This window comes from Homo sapiens, chromosome 5 (assembly GCF_000001405.40).
Source record: "Homo sapiens chromosome 5, GRCh38.p14 Primary Assembly".
Lineage (NCBI taxonomy): Eukaryota > Metazoa > Chordata > Mammalia > Primates > Hominidae > Homo > Homo sapiens.
Window position 1 is genome coordinate 7,989,219 of NC_000005.10, and position 17,503 is coordinate 8,006,721.

Here is a 17,503-nt window from a genome sequence, read left to right on the forward strand (position 1 = left end):
AGAGGAATCACCATTTTTTCTCCTTATTTTCCTCATCTGTGGAATAGGTCTACTAACAACTCTTCCTTCCCCATGGTATAGATGTCTTATATAAACCTTGCAGCATTATAGAAAGGGGATTTAAAGCAACGTTTTTTTTCCTCCTTATAATTGTGTTATTCTGTACAGAGGACAGAGATTTCTATATGAGAAGACAAAACCAAATGTATTCTCTGGGTAATTTTGTATTATCTATAGAACCAGTGCTACTTAAAATGCCCACGTTTTTTCAGTCCTTAAAGTTTCATGAACTTTAGGGGCTCATAGAGAAGATAAGCTATGTTGACACCATTGACCGTTTGCAGGTAGCTCAAGGTACAGTTGGTTCTGACCAGCCTGGAAACATGAGTCACAAGGTCAAATTATCTATTCCTCAGATCTGTCTCCCAGGAGAGAGCACCTACGGGAGGCTTGGTGTCCCAACAAGGTCACTGCCAGAGATTTTTGGAAGTTGGAAGCATCTGTCTCAACCTTAGGAAGATTCACTCGAGTACTAGAGAGGTGAACATCACTCATCTCCCTGAAACAAGTTGATTCTTAATTACTCACTGCTCTAGTCACACCTCAGGTTCTAGAGAAAAGAATTAATGCAGATATATAATCTTACTAGTGTTGTTGTTGTCAGCATTTTTTCTCTTCCCTTTCCTTCCTTCCTTCTTCCTTCCTTCCTTCCTTTTTTTTTTTTTGTGATGGAGTCTTGCTCTGTTGCCCAGGCTGGCATGCAGTGGTGCAGTCTCGGCTCACTGCAACCTCCTCCTCCCAGGTTCAAGTGATTCTCCTGCCTCAGCCTCCCGAGTAGCTATGACTACAGGTGTGCACCACCAGGCCCAGCTAATTTGTGTATTTTTAGTAGAGGCAGGCTTTCACCATGTTGTTCAGGCTGGTCTCAAACTCCTGACCTCATGTGATACACCCAACTTGGTCTCCCAAAGTGCTGGGATTAAAGGCATAAGCCACTGTGCCTGGCCTCAGTATTTTTTTCATACGGATTTGGTGGAAATAGCATCTCTAATACTCTTAATAGCATTCAAAAATGGCACTACTATATTGATGTAATGGTGTAAACTACAATTTATCTTTATGTATACATGAGCGAATGAAAGATGCATGACAAAATGAATCCATCACTTCACAACTTGAAAAGAAAGGGATTTACAGAGCCAATTGCTGTGCGAAATTCCCCTATGGGATGAATGATTACAGATGGCTCGCGTGCTCCTAGTGAGAGCAGCCGTCCTTCCTCCCTGCCAGCCCTGAGAATAGAGAATTATGAAAGCAGATAAGGCTGAAGGAAAGGAATTTAGGGGGTATTATTAATAATAAAGAGGAGACGACAAGTTGAAATGTGGTGATGATCAAAACCTAAAAGCTTCGTAACTCCAAATTGTGATGCACTTTATTGAGAAACCCTGTACGGTTTTATTGGTATAACTACAGTGTAAAGTTTCCTTTTATAATTGCCGTCCTTGAAAAATGGCTAAAATTTTTATTGTGTTGTGGTTATAGAAACCTGCCATTTTTTTTTTTCGTAAACTAATAGTGTACTTCCCATAAAGGTAAATAAAAGAAAAAGAAACCAAAATATGGCTACAAAATAAAAGTAGGGTATAATTAAAATAATTATTGTAACTTAAATTGAAGGAATAAAATATAAATTGTTTTAGGAATGGCCCATGTAGGGAAACTTCAGAAAAATACCAGAAGCAAAAAACAACTTAGGATTTTGAGGCTGAAGTATAATCACACAATCTTATCAGACTCAATTAATATGAGAGAAATTTGATAGGACAATGAAATAACTAATATTGAGTAAAACCCTAATCAGGTTTCTCTCTTAGCACCAACCAATGCCTTGCCTTCATTTCTTTTTGTGAAATTGGTGGATTACATTACTCTTTCTGAGAGAAAGGAAGAATTATCAAGACATTTCTAATAAGATTTGCCCATGCATGGGGGTTCAAATAAAGAATCTCTTACGTGCTGTGCTCTTCCTGGCCCTGTCTCTCCCTCAACCAGCCCTCTTCCTGTGTCTTCCTAATGTCTCCGCCCCTTTGCTCTCTAAGGTGTGGCCATGATCGCTGCTTGTCTGAGGACAGTGGCATGAGCTCCTCCCCCTGCCTAGGCTGCCTTTTCCACTCTCCCTGCCTCACTTCCATCTTTCCTGCCCATCTCAGCATAAACCTCACCCTGCCACGTGTCCTGGACTCCTGGTCTAAATCAGTCCTCCTGCCCCAGGTATTCTTTTTCATGGCTGCCCAATCTCTTCACTAATAGGACCCTTCACATCTTGGATTAATGAATATATTAGTTTTCTTGCGTGTTTATTATCTGTCTGCCCTGCTTGATAGAAATCTCCTTCAAGGCAGGAACCAAATTCCTTTTGGTTACTAGACATGGACTTCAGCCTAGCACGTGGCCCAATGTTGTTCCTTTAAATATTGACTGCTTGGAACATGGTGCAATGTCCTCAGTCACTATAGAATGAGATTCCATTAAAACCTGATGATTCCTTTGTGTTAGGCTCTAATTTCTTTTTAGAAAAACTTCAGAACGCTTTTATTGATTGCCTTTGAATCCCACGAACAGCTGTGAAGTTGAAGGGATAGTTGTCCCCATTTTATATAGGAGGAACTTGAAGCCAGAAATAAAACAACTTGTCCTAAGTTACCTGAAAAGTGGCAGACTCTGGTCTCGAGTCCAGTGTTCATGTCTAGTAATATGCTTTATATTAATAGTAATAATCTGTCATTGAGTAAGTACTGCCCGGAGTTTAATTCATCTTTTGATCCTACTATCAAAACAATATTCTGATTACCTTTATAGAGAAGTGAGAATACCCACAGCAATATCTATTTCTAGAAGAGCTTCTACAAATTCTGGCATCCTGGAAGCCTGCAAAATACTTAAAAAAACCTGAAAAATAATAATGATTCCTCTGCTAGTTTCTTCCTATACAATATCATATTCTTTCCAGCAGTGGAGAGAGGTAGAATTGTCTCCTTCTTGTAGAAATGAGAAAAACCAAGGCTCAAGAAATTATGGAAATTGTCTTTGGTCACACAGCAGATAAATATAAAGATTAGATTTGAAGTCAGGTATCTATGATCTACTCCAAAGCAGCACTTGATCCGCTGATCCACAGAATATTAGACCTCAGAGAGTAACCCTTTGTGCCTCCAAATTAATTTCTCCAATAAAGCAAAAGACATTGACATCCTAACAAAGAGTCTTCATATCACATAAATATCTATGTTTACAACGACCCTCGTAAGTATTCCTTAGCAATACTTACTGATTATTTTGCAATTAATTTACAATTATTTTTGCATATTAATTCATTTCTTTTCTGAAAGACAATCATCAGTTTTGATGAGATGTGAAACAAGCTTGAATTAAGGTGATCAAACAGGCTGTGTTATTCTGTTTGGACTACCATAACATACCACAGACTGGGTGGTTTAAACAGCAGGAATTTGTTTTCTTACAGCTCTGGAGGCTGAAAGTTCAAGATCAAGGTGTAGGCAGGATTGGTTTCTGGTAAGGCTTCTTTCCTTGGCTTGCAGTTGGTGGTTTCTCTCTGTGTCCTCACATGGCCTTTCTTTTGTGCGTGTGGAGAGAGGGGAGGGTAAGTGAGGGAGGAAGGAAGCACATAAAGGAAAAGGAGAAAAGGAGGGAGGCAGGAGAGAAAGACAGACGTGGTAGCTCATGTCTATAATTCTAGCACTTTGGGAGGCCAAGGCAGGTGAATTGCTTGAGTTCAGGAATTTGAGACTAGCCTGGGCAACATGGTGAAACCCCGTCTCAACAAGAAATACAAAAATTAGTATGGTGGTATATGCTTGTAGTCCCAGCTACTAGGGGGGCTGAGGCTGAGGTGGAAAGACCACTTGATCCCGGGAGGTTGAGACAGTGAGCTGTGATGGTGCCACTGTACTCCAGTCTGGGTAACAGAGCAAGACCCTGTCTCAGACAAAAAAAAAAAAGAAAGACAGAAAGAAAAGAAAAAGGGGAGGAGGAGGGGAGAAAGAGAGAGAGTGAGGCAGAGACACCCACATACACAGAGAGAGATCCATAGATTTTTTTTGATATTTCTTTCTCTTCTTATAAGGACATCAGTCCTATGGGATTAGAGTCCCACCAATAGGATCTCATTTAACCTGAACTACCTCCTTAAAGACCCTTTCTCCAAATATAGTCATATTAGGGGTTAGTGCTTCAGCCTATGGCTTTGGGTAGATGCAGTTCAGTCCCTAAGCCAGCCCCTTCCCTTTGCTTGTAGTTGTCTTGTTTCTATGGATGCAACAACTGTCCTCTGAAGGAATGCCTACATTAGCAGGGCTCAGCTGTTTCTAAGATAACAGAGGTTAAAAGGGTGCTTTCTAAAAGTTTACCTAGATATAACTGAACTTTGGGGGGTTTAAAGTAGATCATACTTATTTCACTCATTTTTAAACCCTGAAAATTCTTTCTATGCGATATTCTTGGGGAGAGGTTGGTATTGTGTTTTAGTCAGCATTGGGACTATTCGATATTTGTTTCATCATGTTTTAATTTGTGAATTTGATAAAATGGCATCTTCAAGTTGATTTCATTTCGGATACACCATGGGATTTTTCAAGAAAGTATTTCTAGCTTCAACTATAGTAACCCCTATTTAAAATTACATATATTTGAATGTTTAGATTCTTGAAATATTGGCCATTATCTTTTTAACAGTAATTTAATATTTCAAACTAATTTGAAATATTATCGATGACCTGTGGCATCTTTGAACTTACACTCTAAGAGTGGGATGATTACTCAAATGAGTTCCCCCATAGTAATTTACAAAGGTACATGATTTGTGGAGATACCTAAATCACTTTTGGCATGGTGCTTCTAAGTACGGGGGACTTTAATGCTAGGAAGATCATTCTTGTGTCTCCAATATCAGAAAATATACCATTTTATTGAGGAAGTTGTCTCAATTCAAGAAATAGTTGTAGCATATGGGCTAGTGCATCGAGTGCTGTCCTGGTTCTGCTAGAGGTATTGCCCATAAAGTCTCTCATTAAGTCTAAAGGAAAAAGCATGGCCATATATAAACACGAAGCCCATTCTAATGGTGAATATCACAATAAAAAGAAGCACAGAAGGCGATCACAGATTAGCTGAAGGGAAAGCTGCCTCTGTCTGTGAACGAGGTTTCATGATGGAGTAATATGGCTGCTCCTCTTTGAATGGAGGGAGCTGGAAAGTGGGAGGACATGAGCCCAGAAATGGGAACGCCCAGGTAGTGTGGTCTCAGGATGCCCATATTGTACTTCTAGAGAAACTAGTGAGGAGATTGTGAAGGGCTTGGGGTGTTGGGCTGAGGGGTGTGTAGGCCACAAGGAACCATGCTGGTTGGATGAGATGGGCCCCACCCTTGAGGGGCTTCTGCCTGATGTGGGAGATGGACCTGATGGACCGATAGAGTCAATGAAGTGGTGGATGCAATTCCAGAGACATGCACGAGCTGTTGAGAGAGCCAAGAGGGGCCTTTCCAAGGTCAGACCAGTAGATGCTTTCCTGGTAAACAGAGTGGATAATTAGGGTTACTTGCAAAAACAGAGTAATTTTACCATCATTAGTAGTGACTATATTTCCTTTTCAAAATTATGTTACAAAAGGGAATAACAAAGCTATGGGTTTCAATTAGTTTACATTCTTATTTTGTTCTAAAATGATATTTGGTAATCTGTTATTCCAACAACTGACTTTTCCTAATTGGAGGAGAGAATATTACTTTTAATGCTTTAACTCAAAATGTTCTAAGCTCTACAAAATGAATATATACATATTTTTAAGGTAGAATTTACAAATGCCAGATCTACAATTTACTTCTTCTGGGATTAAAAAGACTTTGGAAGCTTTGCCTTTTAATGAAAATAATTTCAGTCATATTAATAACTCATTGTTTTAAACATTGAATAAAATGAGTTATTCAAGAACAGAAAATATTTAAATTTGCTTTAAAAAAAACTTGTGAACAATTTATGCTATGTGGTTTGCTAATCTAACTGTCGAGTAATTGTTTTATCATTTTAAAAATCCAAAAGTGAAACTGGAATGCTCAGGCTTTGTGTTCCATCTTTGTAATTGACATGCCGTGTTAGATTCCAAACTGGTTCCATATCTTTCAGGTTTTGATACATGAGAAGAATTTTAACCTGGACTTTCTCTCTAGTAGCAATCAATGTATGCAGTAAGCAATTCATGGTGCCACAAGGAGAAGGAAACCCACGCTTTTGTCATAAGTACAAATCAATTACTTTTGCTTATTTTACACCTTTGAATCATGTATTTATTCATCGTTAAGATTTTAGTGTATATAAGGACAAAGTGTTAGCTACTGAAAATAATGCAAAATGCTAAGAAATGAAGAGCTTTTTTCATAAGGGCACAGTCTATTTAGGGATACTAAATATGTAAACAGATGTGTATGATAAAAGGGAAACAGGACAAGTTCCACTGGAGAGTCCACAACTTTAAGGAAGACAGAGGAATGAGTGACTGCTTCTGTCTGGAGGGTCAGTTACCTTGGAAATAGGAGAAACTGGGTTTGTCCTTGAAAGCTGATGTTAGAGCGGAACTGTTCTTTCCTGCCCAGACGTTTCCTTCTGTGTGGGAAGAGCCTAATAAGTGTAACACGCTGACCTCTGTCCCCCTTTCCTCTCTCTGTACTAAGATTTATGAAATTACTGCATTGATAATTAATGAAGAATGTCGCTGTTGACTGTGCGCTTCCCTCTTTTGCTCTGGGGTGTGAACTTGCCTGCAGGGAGTGCGGTTCTGCTCTGCTGGTTTAGGCTTCGTCTTACCTGGGCAGGTGGCTGTTGTCCAGAGGCCTGTCCCAGTTGGTCATGACTCACGACTGGGTGGATAGGTCTGTGAAACTCTGAAATTAGTTGGCAGTTCCAGTTGACCTGTAATCATTTTTTCTATCTTATTCTGTGTTAGAACCTACCAGGCAGCCATTGAAATTCCTCGTCACCTTGCATGGAAATGGGAGTGTCCCGGCACCAGGCTAAGCTGCATTTTCCAGCCTCTCTTGCTGTTGGACGTGTGCTACCTGGTGGGGGAGTCACAGCCATGAGACGTGAGAAGTGACACCAAGGCTTCTGAGCATTGTGTGTGACCTTCCTCTTCACTCTTTCCCCTACAGTGGCTGGATGCAGATGAAGACGAAGCCCTGCGGATGGGTGTGCTGCGAGTTGAAACGATCCTAGGCTCTGAATCGTTGTGCAGAGCAGTTCTACATGCCAACAAAACCACGTGCCTTGGACTGCAATTTTTATTAAGTACTCGATATTTTTTCATATACATAGTAAAAACATATAGAGGGTTGTAACCATCCAACGGGTTCACCTTGCCCACTGCCTAGACAGAGCCAATTGATCAAGACAGGGGAATAGCAATGGAGAAAGAGTGATTCAGGCTTAGCCAGCTGTGTGGGAGACTGGAGTTTTATTGTTACTCAAGTCAGTCTCCCTGAGCCTTCCGGGATCCGCGTTTTTAAAGACAATTTGGTGGGTAGGGGCTCAGTAAGTGGGGAGTGCTGATTGGTCGTGCTGGAAATGGAATCGTAGGTGGCCGTATTTAGGTTTTCTTGGTGTCTTCTGTTCCTGGGTGGGATTGCAGAAAAGATTGAGCCAAATTACAGGCCTGGGTGGTGTCAACTGATCCATCGAGTGCAGGGTCTGCAAAATATCTGAAGCACTGATCTTAGGCTTTACAATAGTGATGTTATCCCAGGAGCAATCTCGGGAGGTTCAGATTCTGACAGCCAGAGGCTGCATGACCCCTAAACCTTAATTTCTAATCTTGTAGCTAATTTGTTAGCCCTACAAAGGCAGACTGGTCCCCAGGCAAGAAGGGAGTCTTTTTGGGAAAGGACTATTATCAATTTTCTTTTAGAGTCAAACTATAAACTAAATTCCTTCCCAAGGTTAGTTTGGCTGATGCCCAAGAATGAACAAGGACAGCTTAAAGGTTAGAAGCAAGATGGAGTCAGTTAGGTCTGACCTCTTTCACTGTCATAATTTCCTCAGTTATAATTTTTGCAAAGGTGGTTTCAAGGTCAGAAGCAATTATATTTCTAGGCTAATTTAGTCCTGTATTTGCAGATCCTGTTGACTTGAGATACTGGGTAAGTTAGTAAACACAAACAGCATCATTTGGTTCAATATAGGGCACCTCATTTAAACTATTTTATTAATTAATGACAAAAATGTAGCAATTAGTTTATTTCTACCGTCTCAAAAATGGTTAAATTGCTCTAAATCATTCTGTTTCTGATTTGTTGTGAACATTTTGGTGAATTGGCACACAGTTAACTCTCACAGTGACAGGGAATGCCCTGAGCGGGTGCAGTGGATTTCTTTGACCTATGCAGCAACACCTGCCATGGCCCTGAGATACAGGGTAATGTGCTGTTGCTGTTGCATGGTTAGAGTCAGAAAACAAGAGTTTGGGAAAAGCGGGTAAGGAAAAAAACTCTACCTCTTACTAACTGTACAAACTCAGCAAGCTATTTAACCTCCGTGATCCTCATTATCTTCATTGGTAAATCAAGAACAAACAGGGTTCTCACCTTATGAGGATGTTAAGGGATGTAACTTATGTGAATCATGTGGACAAAAGTCGGCTCCCAGCAGGTTACGGTTCAGTCATAGATATCATCAAAGTTATTCTAAATGTTGAGAGACTCCCATCACATCTGCAGGTGGCCCCAGGGAGAGTCTGGGTCAATGCACAAGTTTGATGTAAACACAGAGGAGGCAAGCAGGCATGAAAATTCAGAGATAGAGGGGTGGAAAGTATGTTCAGGAATGGCCAGGCTAAGAAGGTGATTTTTGAACAAAGACCTGAAGGACATAGGGGAATTAAGGCCCTGTATACACCTGCTCAGGCTGTCACAGTAAATCAGAGAGCGGGTGCTTAAATAACAGAAATTTGTTTTCTCATAATTCTGGAGGCTGGAAGTTCAAGATGGGGGTGTCAACAGGGCATTTGCTCTGAGGGCTCTCTCCTTGGCCTGTAGATGCCATCTTCTCCCTGTGTCTTCTCCCTTTGTTTTCCTAGAGTCTTCCCTCTATGCATGTCTGTGTCCAAATTCACTCTTCTAATAAGGACACCAGTCATATTGAATGGAGGCTTCATTTTAACTCTACCTCTTTAGAGGTCCTGTCTTCAAATACAGTCATGTTCTAAGATAGTGAGGATTTCAACATATGAATTTTGGGGCATACACATTTGAGCTCATCACTAGAGCTAAGAATAGAAACTGCCTGGTGAATTCTAGAACTGAGACCAGTCCCCTCCCTAGGACAGAGGGAAAGGATAAAGGATAGAGAGCATGAAGGAGATATGGGCCAAGGCAGACAGGCCAGGTCGGCTGGCACAGGGGTGGGTTGGGGTGGGGAGATTCTGGTTTTACTCTGAGTGATGGGAGATGATGGAGGAGAGGCAGGGCCTGATTTAGATCTTAAAGGGACCCCTTCATTCTGTGGATAATAGGTGGCAGGGGGTCTGTGCAAGGCCAGCAAGAGCAGTAGAGCTGCCAGGAAGCTACTGCTATTTGATGCTATGCTCAACAAAACAGTGCTTGGATCATGGACCTGTGGTGGATGTCGTAAGAAATGATCATATTCTGGGTCTATTTTGGTGTCATACAGAAAGGATTGGCTGAGGAACTGGATGTGAGGGATGTGAGAAAGAAGGATTTGTTTTGAAATATGTATACATTATGGAGTGGCAAAATTGGCCTAATTAACATTTGCATTACCTCACAGACTTACCGTTTTTTAATACTTAATTCTCTCAGTGATTTTCAAGAACACATTGTTATTAACTTTATTCTTTATGTTATAGACTAGATTTCTTGAACTTATTCTTCTTATCTAACTGAAATTTTGTGTCCTTCAACCAACATCTCTCCCATCCCATGCTTCTCACCCCAGCTCTTAGCAAACACCATTCTACTCTCTGCTTCTACGAGTTCAGTGTTTTTTGAATGCACATGTGAGTGATAACATGTATTTGACTTTTTGTTCCTGGCTTATTTCATCTAACATAATGTCCTCCAGATTCATCCATGTTGTCAGAGAGGACAGGATTTCCTTCTTTGTAAAGTCTGAATGGTATTTCCTTGCATATATATGCTACATTTTCTTATCCATTCATCCTTTGGTGAATACTCTGGTTGATTTCATATCTTAGCTATTGCAAATAATGCTGCAGTGAACATGGGAGTGCAGATATCTCTTCAACATGCTGATTTCATTTCCTTTAGAAGTATACCAGCAGTGGAATTGTTGGATCATTTGGGAGTTCTAATTTTAATTGTTTGAGGCGCCTCCATACTGTTTTCAATATGGGTGAACTAACTTACATTCCCACAAATAGTGTGCAAGGGTTCCTTTTTCTCCACATCCTTATCAATGCTTATCTTTTGTCTTTTTGACAATATCCATCCTAACAGGTGTGAGGTGATAGCTCATTGTGGTTTTAATTTGCATTTGCCTGATGATTAGTAATGTTGAGCATTTTTTCAAACATCTGTTGGCCATTTGTATGGTTTCTTTTGATAAATGTCTATTCAGGGCCTTTGCCCATTTTTAAATAGATTTTTTACTAACTATTGAGTTTCTTATATATTTTGGATATTAACCGCTTTTCAGATGTATGGTTTGCAGATATTTTCTCCCATTTTGTAGGTTGTTTGTTCACTCTGTTGATTGTTGACTCCTGTGCAGAGGCTTTTCAATTAGTTATAATTTCATTTGTTCATTTTTGCTTCTGCTACTGGTTCCTTTATAGAGTCCTATTTAAAAATTAATTGCTTAGACCAGTGTCTTAGAGCTTTTCTCCTATGATTTCTCCTAGTAACTTTACAGTTTCACATCTTATGTTTAAGTCTACAGTCCATTTTGAGTTGATTTTTGTATATGATGTCCAAATTCCTTCTTCTGCCTGTGGATATCCAGTTTTTCCAACATCATTTATTGAAGAGACTGTCCTTTACCCACTGTGTGTTCTTGGCATCTTTGTTGAATATCAATTGACCTTAAATGCATGGATTTATTTCTGGATTCTTCAGTCTATCAATTGGTCTATCTGTCTGCTTTTATGCCAGTACCACGCTGTTTGATTACTATAGCTTTGTAGTATAGTTTGAAGTTAGGTAGTATGCTGTCTCCAGCTTTGTTCCTTTTTGTTCGAGATGTTTTTGGCTATCTGGGGTCTTTTGTGTTTCCATATAAATTTTAGGATTCTCTTCCTATTTATATAAAAATATTATTGGGATTTTGATAGAGATTACATTGAATCTGCAGATTGCTTTGGGTAGTATGAACATTTTAAACATATTAATTTTTCCAATATATGAACATGGGATATTTTTCCATTTATTTGTGTCTTCTACAATTTATGTTATCAATATTTTATAGTTTTTGGCATACAAGCCTTCCACCTCCTTGGTTAAATTTATTCCTAAGTATTTTATTTTTTTGGTAATATTGTAAATAGGAATGTTTGATTTTTTGTCAGTTCTTTGTTAGTGTGTAGAAGTGGTACTCATTTTTGTATGCTGATTTTTAATCCTGCTAATTTACTAAGTTTGTTTATCAGTTCTAACAGTTCTTGGTGAAGTCTTTAGGTTTTTCTATGTATATGATCATGTCATCTGTAAACAGGGAAAATTTGACTTGTTTATTTTCAATTTGGATGCTTTTATTTGTTTCTCCTGCTTAATTTCACTGGCTAGGTCTTCCAGAAATGTGTTGAATAAGAATGGCAAGAGTGGGCGTCCTTGTCATGTTTCTGATATTAGAGGAAGCTTTTAACTTTTTCCCACTGAGTATGATGTTGTTGGTTGTGAGTTTGTCACATTTCTTTTATTGTTTTGAAGTACATTCCTTCTATTACTAAGTTGTTGAGAGTTTTTAAGCCATAAATGAATATTGAATTTTGTCAAATGCTTTGAGTAGGGGTTCCCATGAACCCTCTTTAGACACAATTTGCTAAAGTGAGTCACTAATCTTGGGGAAACACTTACTTAATTTACTGGCTTATTGTAAAGGATATTTTAAAAAAATAAAAGTAAACAACCAGATGAAGAAAAACACAGGGCAATGTCTGGAAGGACATTGGAGCACAGGAGCTTCTGTTTCCAAGGAACTGGGGTGCACCACACTCCTGCCCTGTGGAAGAGTTCTTGTTCACCTTTCAGCAAGTCTCCAAAAGCTCAGCTGCCCAGAAGCTCTTTGTACCCTGTCCTCTTGGCTGTTAATGGAGACTTCATGGAACAGGCATGATTGAAGATTTACAACTGTGTAGAGATGTGATTCGCCAAAGAGGGTATGATCTACTACTAATAGAGCAAGTAGGAAAACACAGCAAGGCCTGTCTGGATTCTTCTTGGCCTCTCTGTGCGGCATTCCTTCCCCTAGGGTGTGGAGCAGGACCCCTTCTGGAATGGGAGTCTTATGACCTACAGTTAGACAAGGAAGGTCAGAGAATTTCTTTATGGCCAGCTCCAAGAAAGAAAGGCAAGGGAAGATTAGAGCATATTTTTAGTTCCTATGCCCTGTCCTGGGGAGAAAAAGAAGCAAGAAAAAGGAGGGCAGGAGAAGGTCAAAGAAAGATTTTGTTTTCTGAGGCCTGCTTCTGAGGCCTAAATGCCCCAAAATTATAACTAAAGCCTATCTTTCACGTTTCTTGCTCTGAAGCTATTCTATAGATGCTTGAAAAACAAGGACAAAAGGCCAAATACTTTTACAAAAGATATGCTTATTGTTTTGTTACTTAGGAAACAACAGGGATTACAAGAGGAATTATGAATGAAAGCCAATATATAAATATCACAAAATCACAGTTCTTTATTCTGTTAATGTAGTATATCACATTTATCAATTTGTATTTGTTGCACCATCCTTGCATCCCTGGGATAAATTTAATATGAACATGGTGAAAGACTTTTTTTAATATGCTGTTGAATTTTGCTTGCTTGTGTTTTATTGAAGATTTTTGCATTTATGTTCATCAGAGATATTGGCCTATAATTTTCTTTTCCTTTTACCTTACTTAACTTATTTATTTATTTATTTACTTATTTTTGAGACAAGGTCTCACCCTGTTGCCCAGGATGGAGTGCAGTAGCATGAACATGGCTCACTATAGCCTCAACCTCTCAGGCTCAAGTGATCTTCTTGCCTCAGCCTTTTGAGTAGCTGGTTCCACATGTGTGTGCCACTATGTCTGGCTAATGTTTAAGATTTTCTGTAGAGATGGGGTCTTGTTATGCTGCCCAGGCTGGTCTTGAACTCCTGGCCTCAAATGATCCTCCAATCTTGGCCTCCCAAACTGTTGGGATTATAGACATGAGCCATCATGTATGGCCATTTCCTTTTCTTGTGGTATATTTGTCTGACTTTGCTGTCAGGCTAATGCTGGCCTGGTAAAATGAGTTTGGACATATTCCTTCTTCTTAATTTTTTGGATGGGTTTGAGAAAGATTGATATTAGTCATTTAAATGTTTGATAGAATTCAACAGTGAAGCCAATAGGTCCTGGGCTTTTTGTTGATAGGAACTTTTTTACTACTGATTCAATCTCCCTACTCATTAGTCTGTTCAGATTTTCTGTTTCTTCATGATTCAGTTATGGTAGGTTGTATGCCTCTAGGAATTCATCCATTTCCTCTGGGTTATCCATTTTGTTACTGTATAATTGTTCCTAGTAACCTCTTATGAGTTTTGTATTTCGTTGGTATCAACTGTAATGTCTCTTCTTTATTTGCAGTTTTATTCACTATTCCCTCTTTTTTTTTTTAAGTCTAGTTAAAGGTTTGCTGACTTTGTTTTTACAAAAAGCTAACTCAAAGTTTTGCTGAACTTTTGTGTTTTTCTAGTCTCTGTACCATTTATTTCTGATATGGTGTTCATTTTTTCTTTCTGTCCATGGGCTTAGTTTGTTTTTTGTTTTAGGTTCTTGAGGTGTAATGTTAGATTTTTAATTTTATTTGATGTAAGTATAGCTACCTCCAGTCCCTTTTGATTTTTATTTGTGTAAAATGTTTTTTTTTCACTTTTAGTCTATGTATTTCCTTAACTGTGATGAAAATCTCTTGTAGATGATATATAGCAGGGTCTTGTTTCTTTTATCCATTCAGCCTTTATATGTCTTTAGATTTGACAATTTAATCCATTTACATTTAAGATATTCACTGATAAGTACTATTGCCATTTTGTTAATTGTTTTGTAAATCCTTTCTTCCTCCTTTGCTATCTTCATGATTAGATGATTTTCTTTAGTAGTGTGCCTTGATTCTTTATTGTTTTATCTTTTGTTATTTACAACAGGTTTGCGCATTGCGGTTCCCATGAGGGCTTATGTAAAACAACTTATAACAAGCCATCATAAGTTGATAGCAACTTAACTTTGATCACATGAAAAAACTCAACATTTTTCATTTTTATTCTACTCTTCCCCCACATTTTATGTTGATGTTACAATTTGTATCTTTTTATATATCTTTAACAAATTATAGCTATAATTATTTTTAATTGTTTTGTTTTTTAACTTTTGTACTAAAAACACACTTTTACCAATGAGTTTTATATTTTGATATGTTTTCATGCTATTAATTAACTTCCTTTCCTTTCAGCTTGATGAACCTCCTTTAGCATTTCGTGTAAGATAAGCCTGTTGGTGATAAACATCCTCAGCTTTTGTTCCTCTGGGAAAGTCTTGGCTATAGCTTGAATGTCCCCACCCTAAAAAAAATTTCACAATGAAACTTAATCCTCAATGTGGCAATACTGAGAGGTGGGGTCTTTAAGGGGTGATTAGATCATGAGGGTTCTGTCCTCATGAATGAATTAGTCCACTCATGAATTAATATGTTAATTCATGATTAATAGTCACGGATTATCATGGAATAAGAACTGGTGGCTTTTCAAGGTAGTGAAGAGAAACCTGAGCTAGCACATTAGCACAGTCGGCCCCCTCACAATGTGACACCCTGCATTGACTCAGGACACCACACAGAGTCCTTACAAGCAAGCCTCCATAACTCTAAGAAATCAATTCAATTTCTTTATAAATTACCTAGTTTCAAGTATTCTGTTATAAGCAACACAGAACAGACTAAGACAGAAAATTGGTACCAAGAGTGGGGATGTTGCTAATAATAAATACCTGAATATGGAGAAGCAGCTTTAAAACTGGGTAATGGGCAGAGACTGAAAGAATTAGGAGGATCGGGCTAGAAAAAGCCTAGATTCTGGTGAGGACTCAGAAGACAAGAAGACCAGGGAAAGTTCGGAACTCTTTAGAAACTGAATAAGTGGATGGGATGAGAATAATATGGGCAGTAAAAGCTATTCTGACAATGTTTCAGATGGAACTGAGGAAGAAGGTATTAGAAACTGAAGTAAAGGACATCTTCATTATAAATTAGGAAAGAACTTGGCTAAGCTGTGTCCATGCCCAAGGCCTTTGTGGAAGGCTGAACTTGAGAGTGATGAACTGGGGTATCTGGGAGAATAAATTTCTTTCTTTCCTTCCTTCCTTCCTTCCTTCCTTCCTTCCTTCCTTCCTTCCTTCCTTCCTTCCTCTTTCTTTCTTTCTTCTTTCTTTCTTTCTTTCTTTTTTCTTTCTTTCTTTCTTTCTTTCTTTCTTTCTTTCTTTCTTTCTTTCTTTCTTTCTCTCTCTCTCTCTCTCTCTCTTTCTTTCTTTCTTTCTTTCTTTCTCTCTTTCTTTCTTTTTAGACAGAGTATCACACTATCACCCAGGCTGGAGTGCAGTGGCATGATCTCAGCTCACTGCAACCTCTGCCTCCTGGGTTCAAGTGATTCTCCTGTCTGGCAGAATAAATTTCTAAACAAAATATAGAAGGAGATACATGATTAATTTTGGCTACTTTTGCTGAGATTCTGGAGCAAAGGAATAATTTAAAAACAGAATTTGTAACTAAAAGGGAACCAGAGAGGAAAGATTTGGAAAACTCTGTGCCTGACCATATAAAAAAGTGAAAAACATGTTTGGCAGAGGAAATCAAGGGTATAGCCCAGTGGTCATTTACTAAAGAGATAAGCATGGATAGAAGGGATCCAGGTGCTATTCTTCAAGACAATGGAAGAAAGACCCTGGAGATCTTTTAGAGATCTTTGAGGTTGCCACTCCCGTCACAGTTCCGTAGGCCCAGGAAAGCAGAATGATTTCAGAGGACAGCCCTGGTGTACTCTCCACAGGCTAAGGCTCATTACCCAGGGCTGCCTCAAAGCTCTACTACCCACATGTTGACACAGTGCTCTGCTGTCACCCCAGCAGTCCCAGGTTTGGCTTGTGCTGGAGCTCTGAAATGTACAAGTCATAAACTTTTGTGGCATCCACCTGGTGCTAATTCTTCAGGCTTTCGGAAAGCAAACACCGTAGAGACTTGGCAGCCTCCACCCAGATTTCAGAGGATGTTATCAAAAGCCTTGAGATCCAGGGCAGAGACTTGTCATTAGGGAGAATAAACTGAAGAGAGGCCCTACTAAAGCAATGCTGAGTGGATATGTGAGATTGGGGATGCCACTGAGTGTTCCAACTAGGTCAATGACTAGTGGAATCATAGAAGCAGGGCTGCCACCAAGACCCCTGAACTGCAGAGCTACCAGCATGCAATGCCAGTCTGAGAGAGCTGGGTGGCACTCAAGCCATAGTGGCCTGAGACTTTGGGGTCCCAACTCCTGCACCAGTGTGCAGAGGATGCCAGACATGAAGTCAAAGGAGACTATTCAGGAGCCTTAAGACCCAATATCTGCCTTCTTGGGCTTTGGACTTGCTTGGGGCCTGTTACCCCCTACTTCTTGCCTATTTCTCCCTTTTGGGATGGGCATGTTTACTCTATGCTTGTTATACCATTGTATCTTAAATGTAGATAACTTGTTTTGATTTCACAGACTCAACAGAGGATATTTCCAACTTTGAAATTTTGAGTTGGTGCTGTGACAAGTTAAGACTTTGGGGCTATGGGTAAAGAATAAATCTATTTGTATGTGACATAAACATGAGCTTTGGGGACAAGCGGTGGAATGATATGGCTTAAATGCCTACTCTCCAAACTTATGTTGAAACTTAATCCCCATCATGGCAGTATTGAGAGGTGGTGCCTTTAAGATGTGATTGGGTCATAAAGGCTCATTTTTATAAATGGATTAATCCATTCATAGATGATCAAATTAGTGGGTTAATGTGTTATTGGGTTATCACAGAAGGAGAACTGGTGGCTTTATAAGAAAGGAGAGAACTGAGGTAGCACATTAGCACACTAAGCTGTCTCACCATGTGATACCCTGTGCCTTGGGACTCTTGAGTCCCCAAAAGCAAGAAGGCTATCACCCAATGTATCCCCCCAACTTTGGACTTAGACTTCACAACTATAGATAATAAA

At 39.2% G+C, this 17,503-nt stretch overlaps 1 annotated feature.

Annotated features, from left to right (window-relative positions):
* Nucleotides 6,327-7,526: an enhancer, noted in NCBI's record as "CDK7 strongly-dependent group 2 enhancer chr5:7995658-7996857 (GRCh37/hg19 assembly coordinates)". NCBI's record gives its function as "activates an origin of replication core promoter dependent on BRD2, BRD4, P300/CBP, MED14 and CDK7 cofactors, with strong dependence on CDK7, by STARR-seq in HCT116 cells {active_cell/tissue: HCT116}" and the evidence as "EXISTENCE:reporter gene assay evidence [ECO:0000049][PMID:35650434]".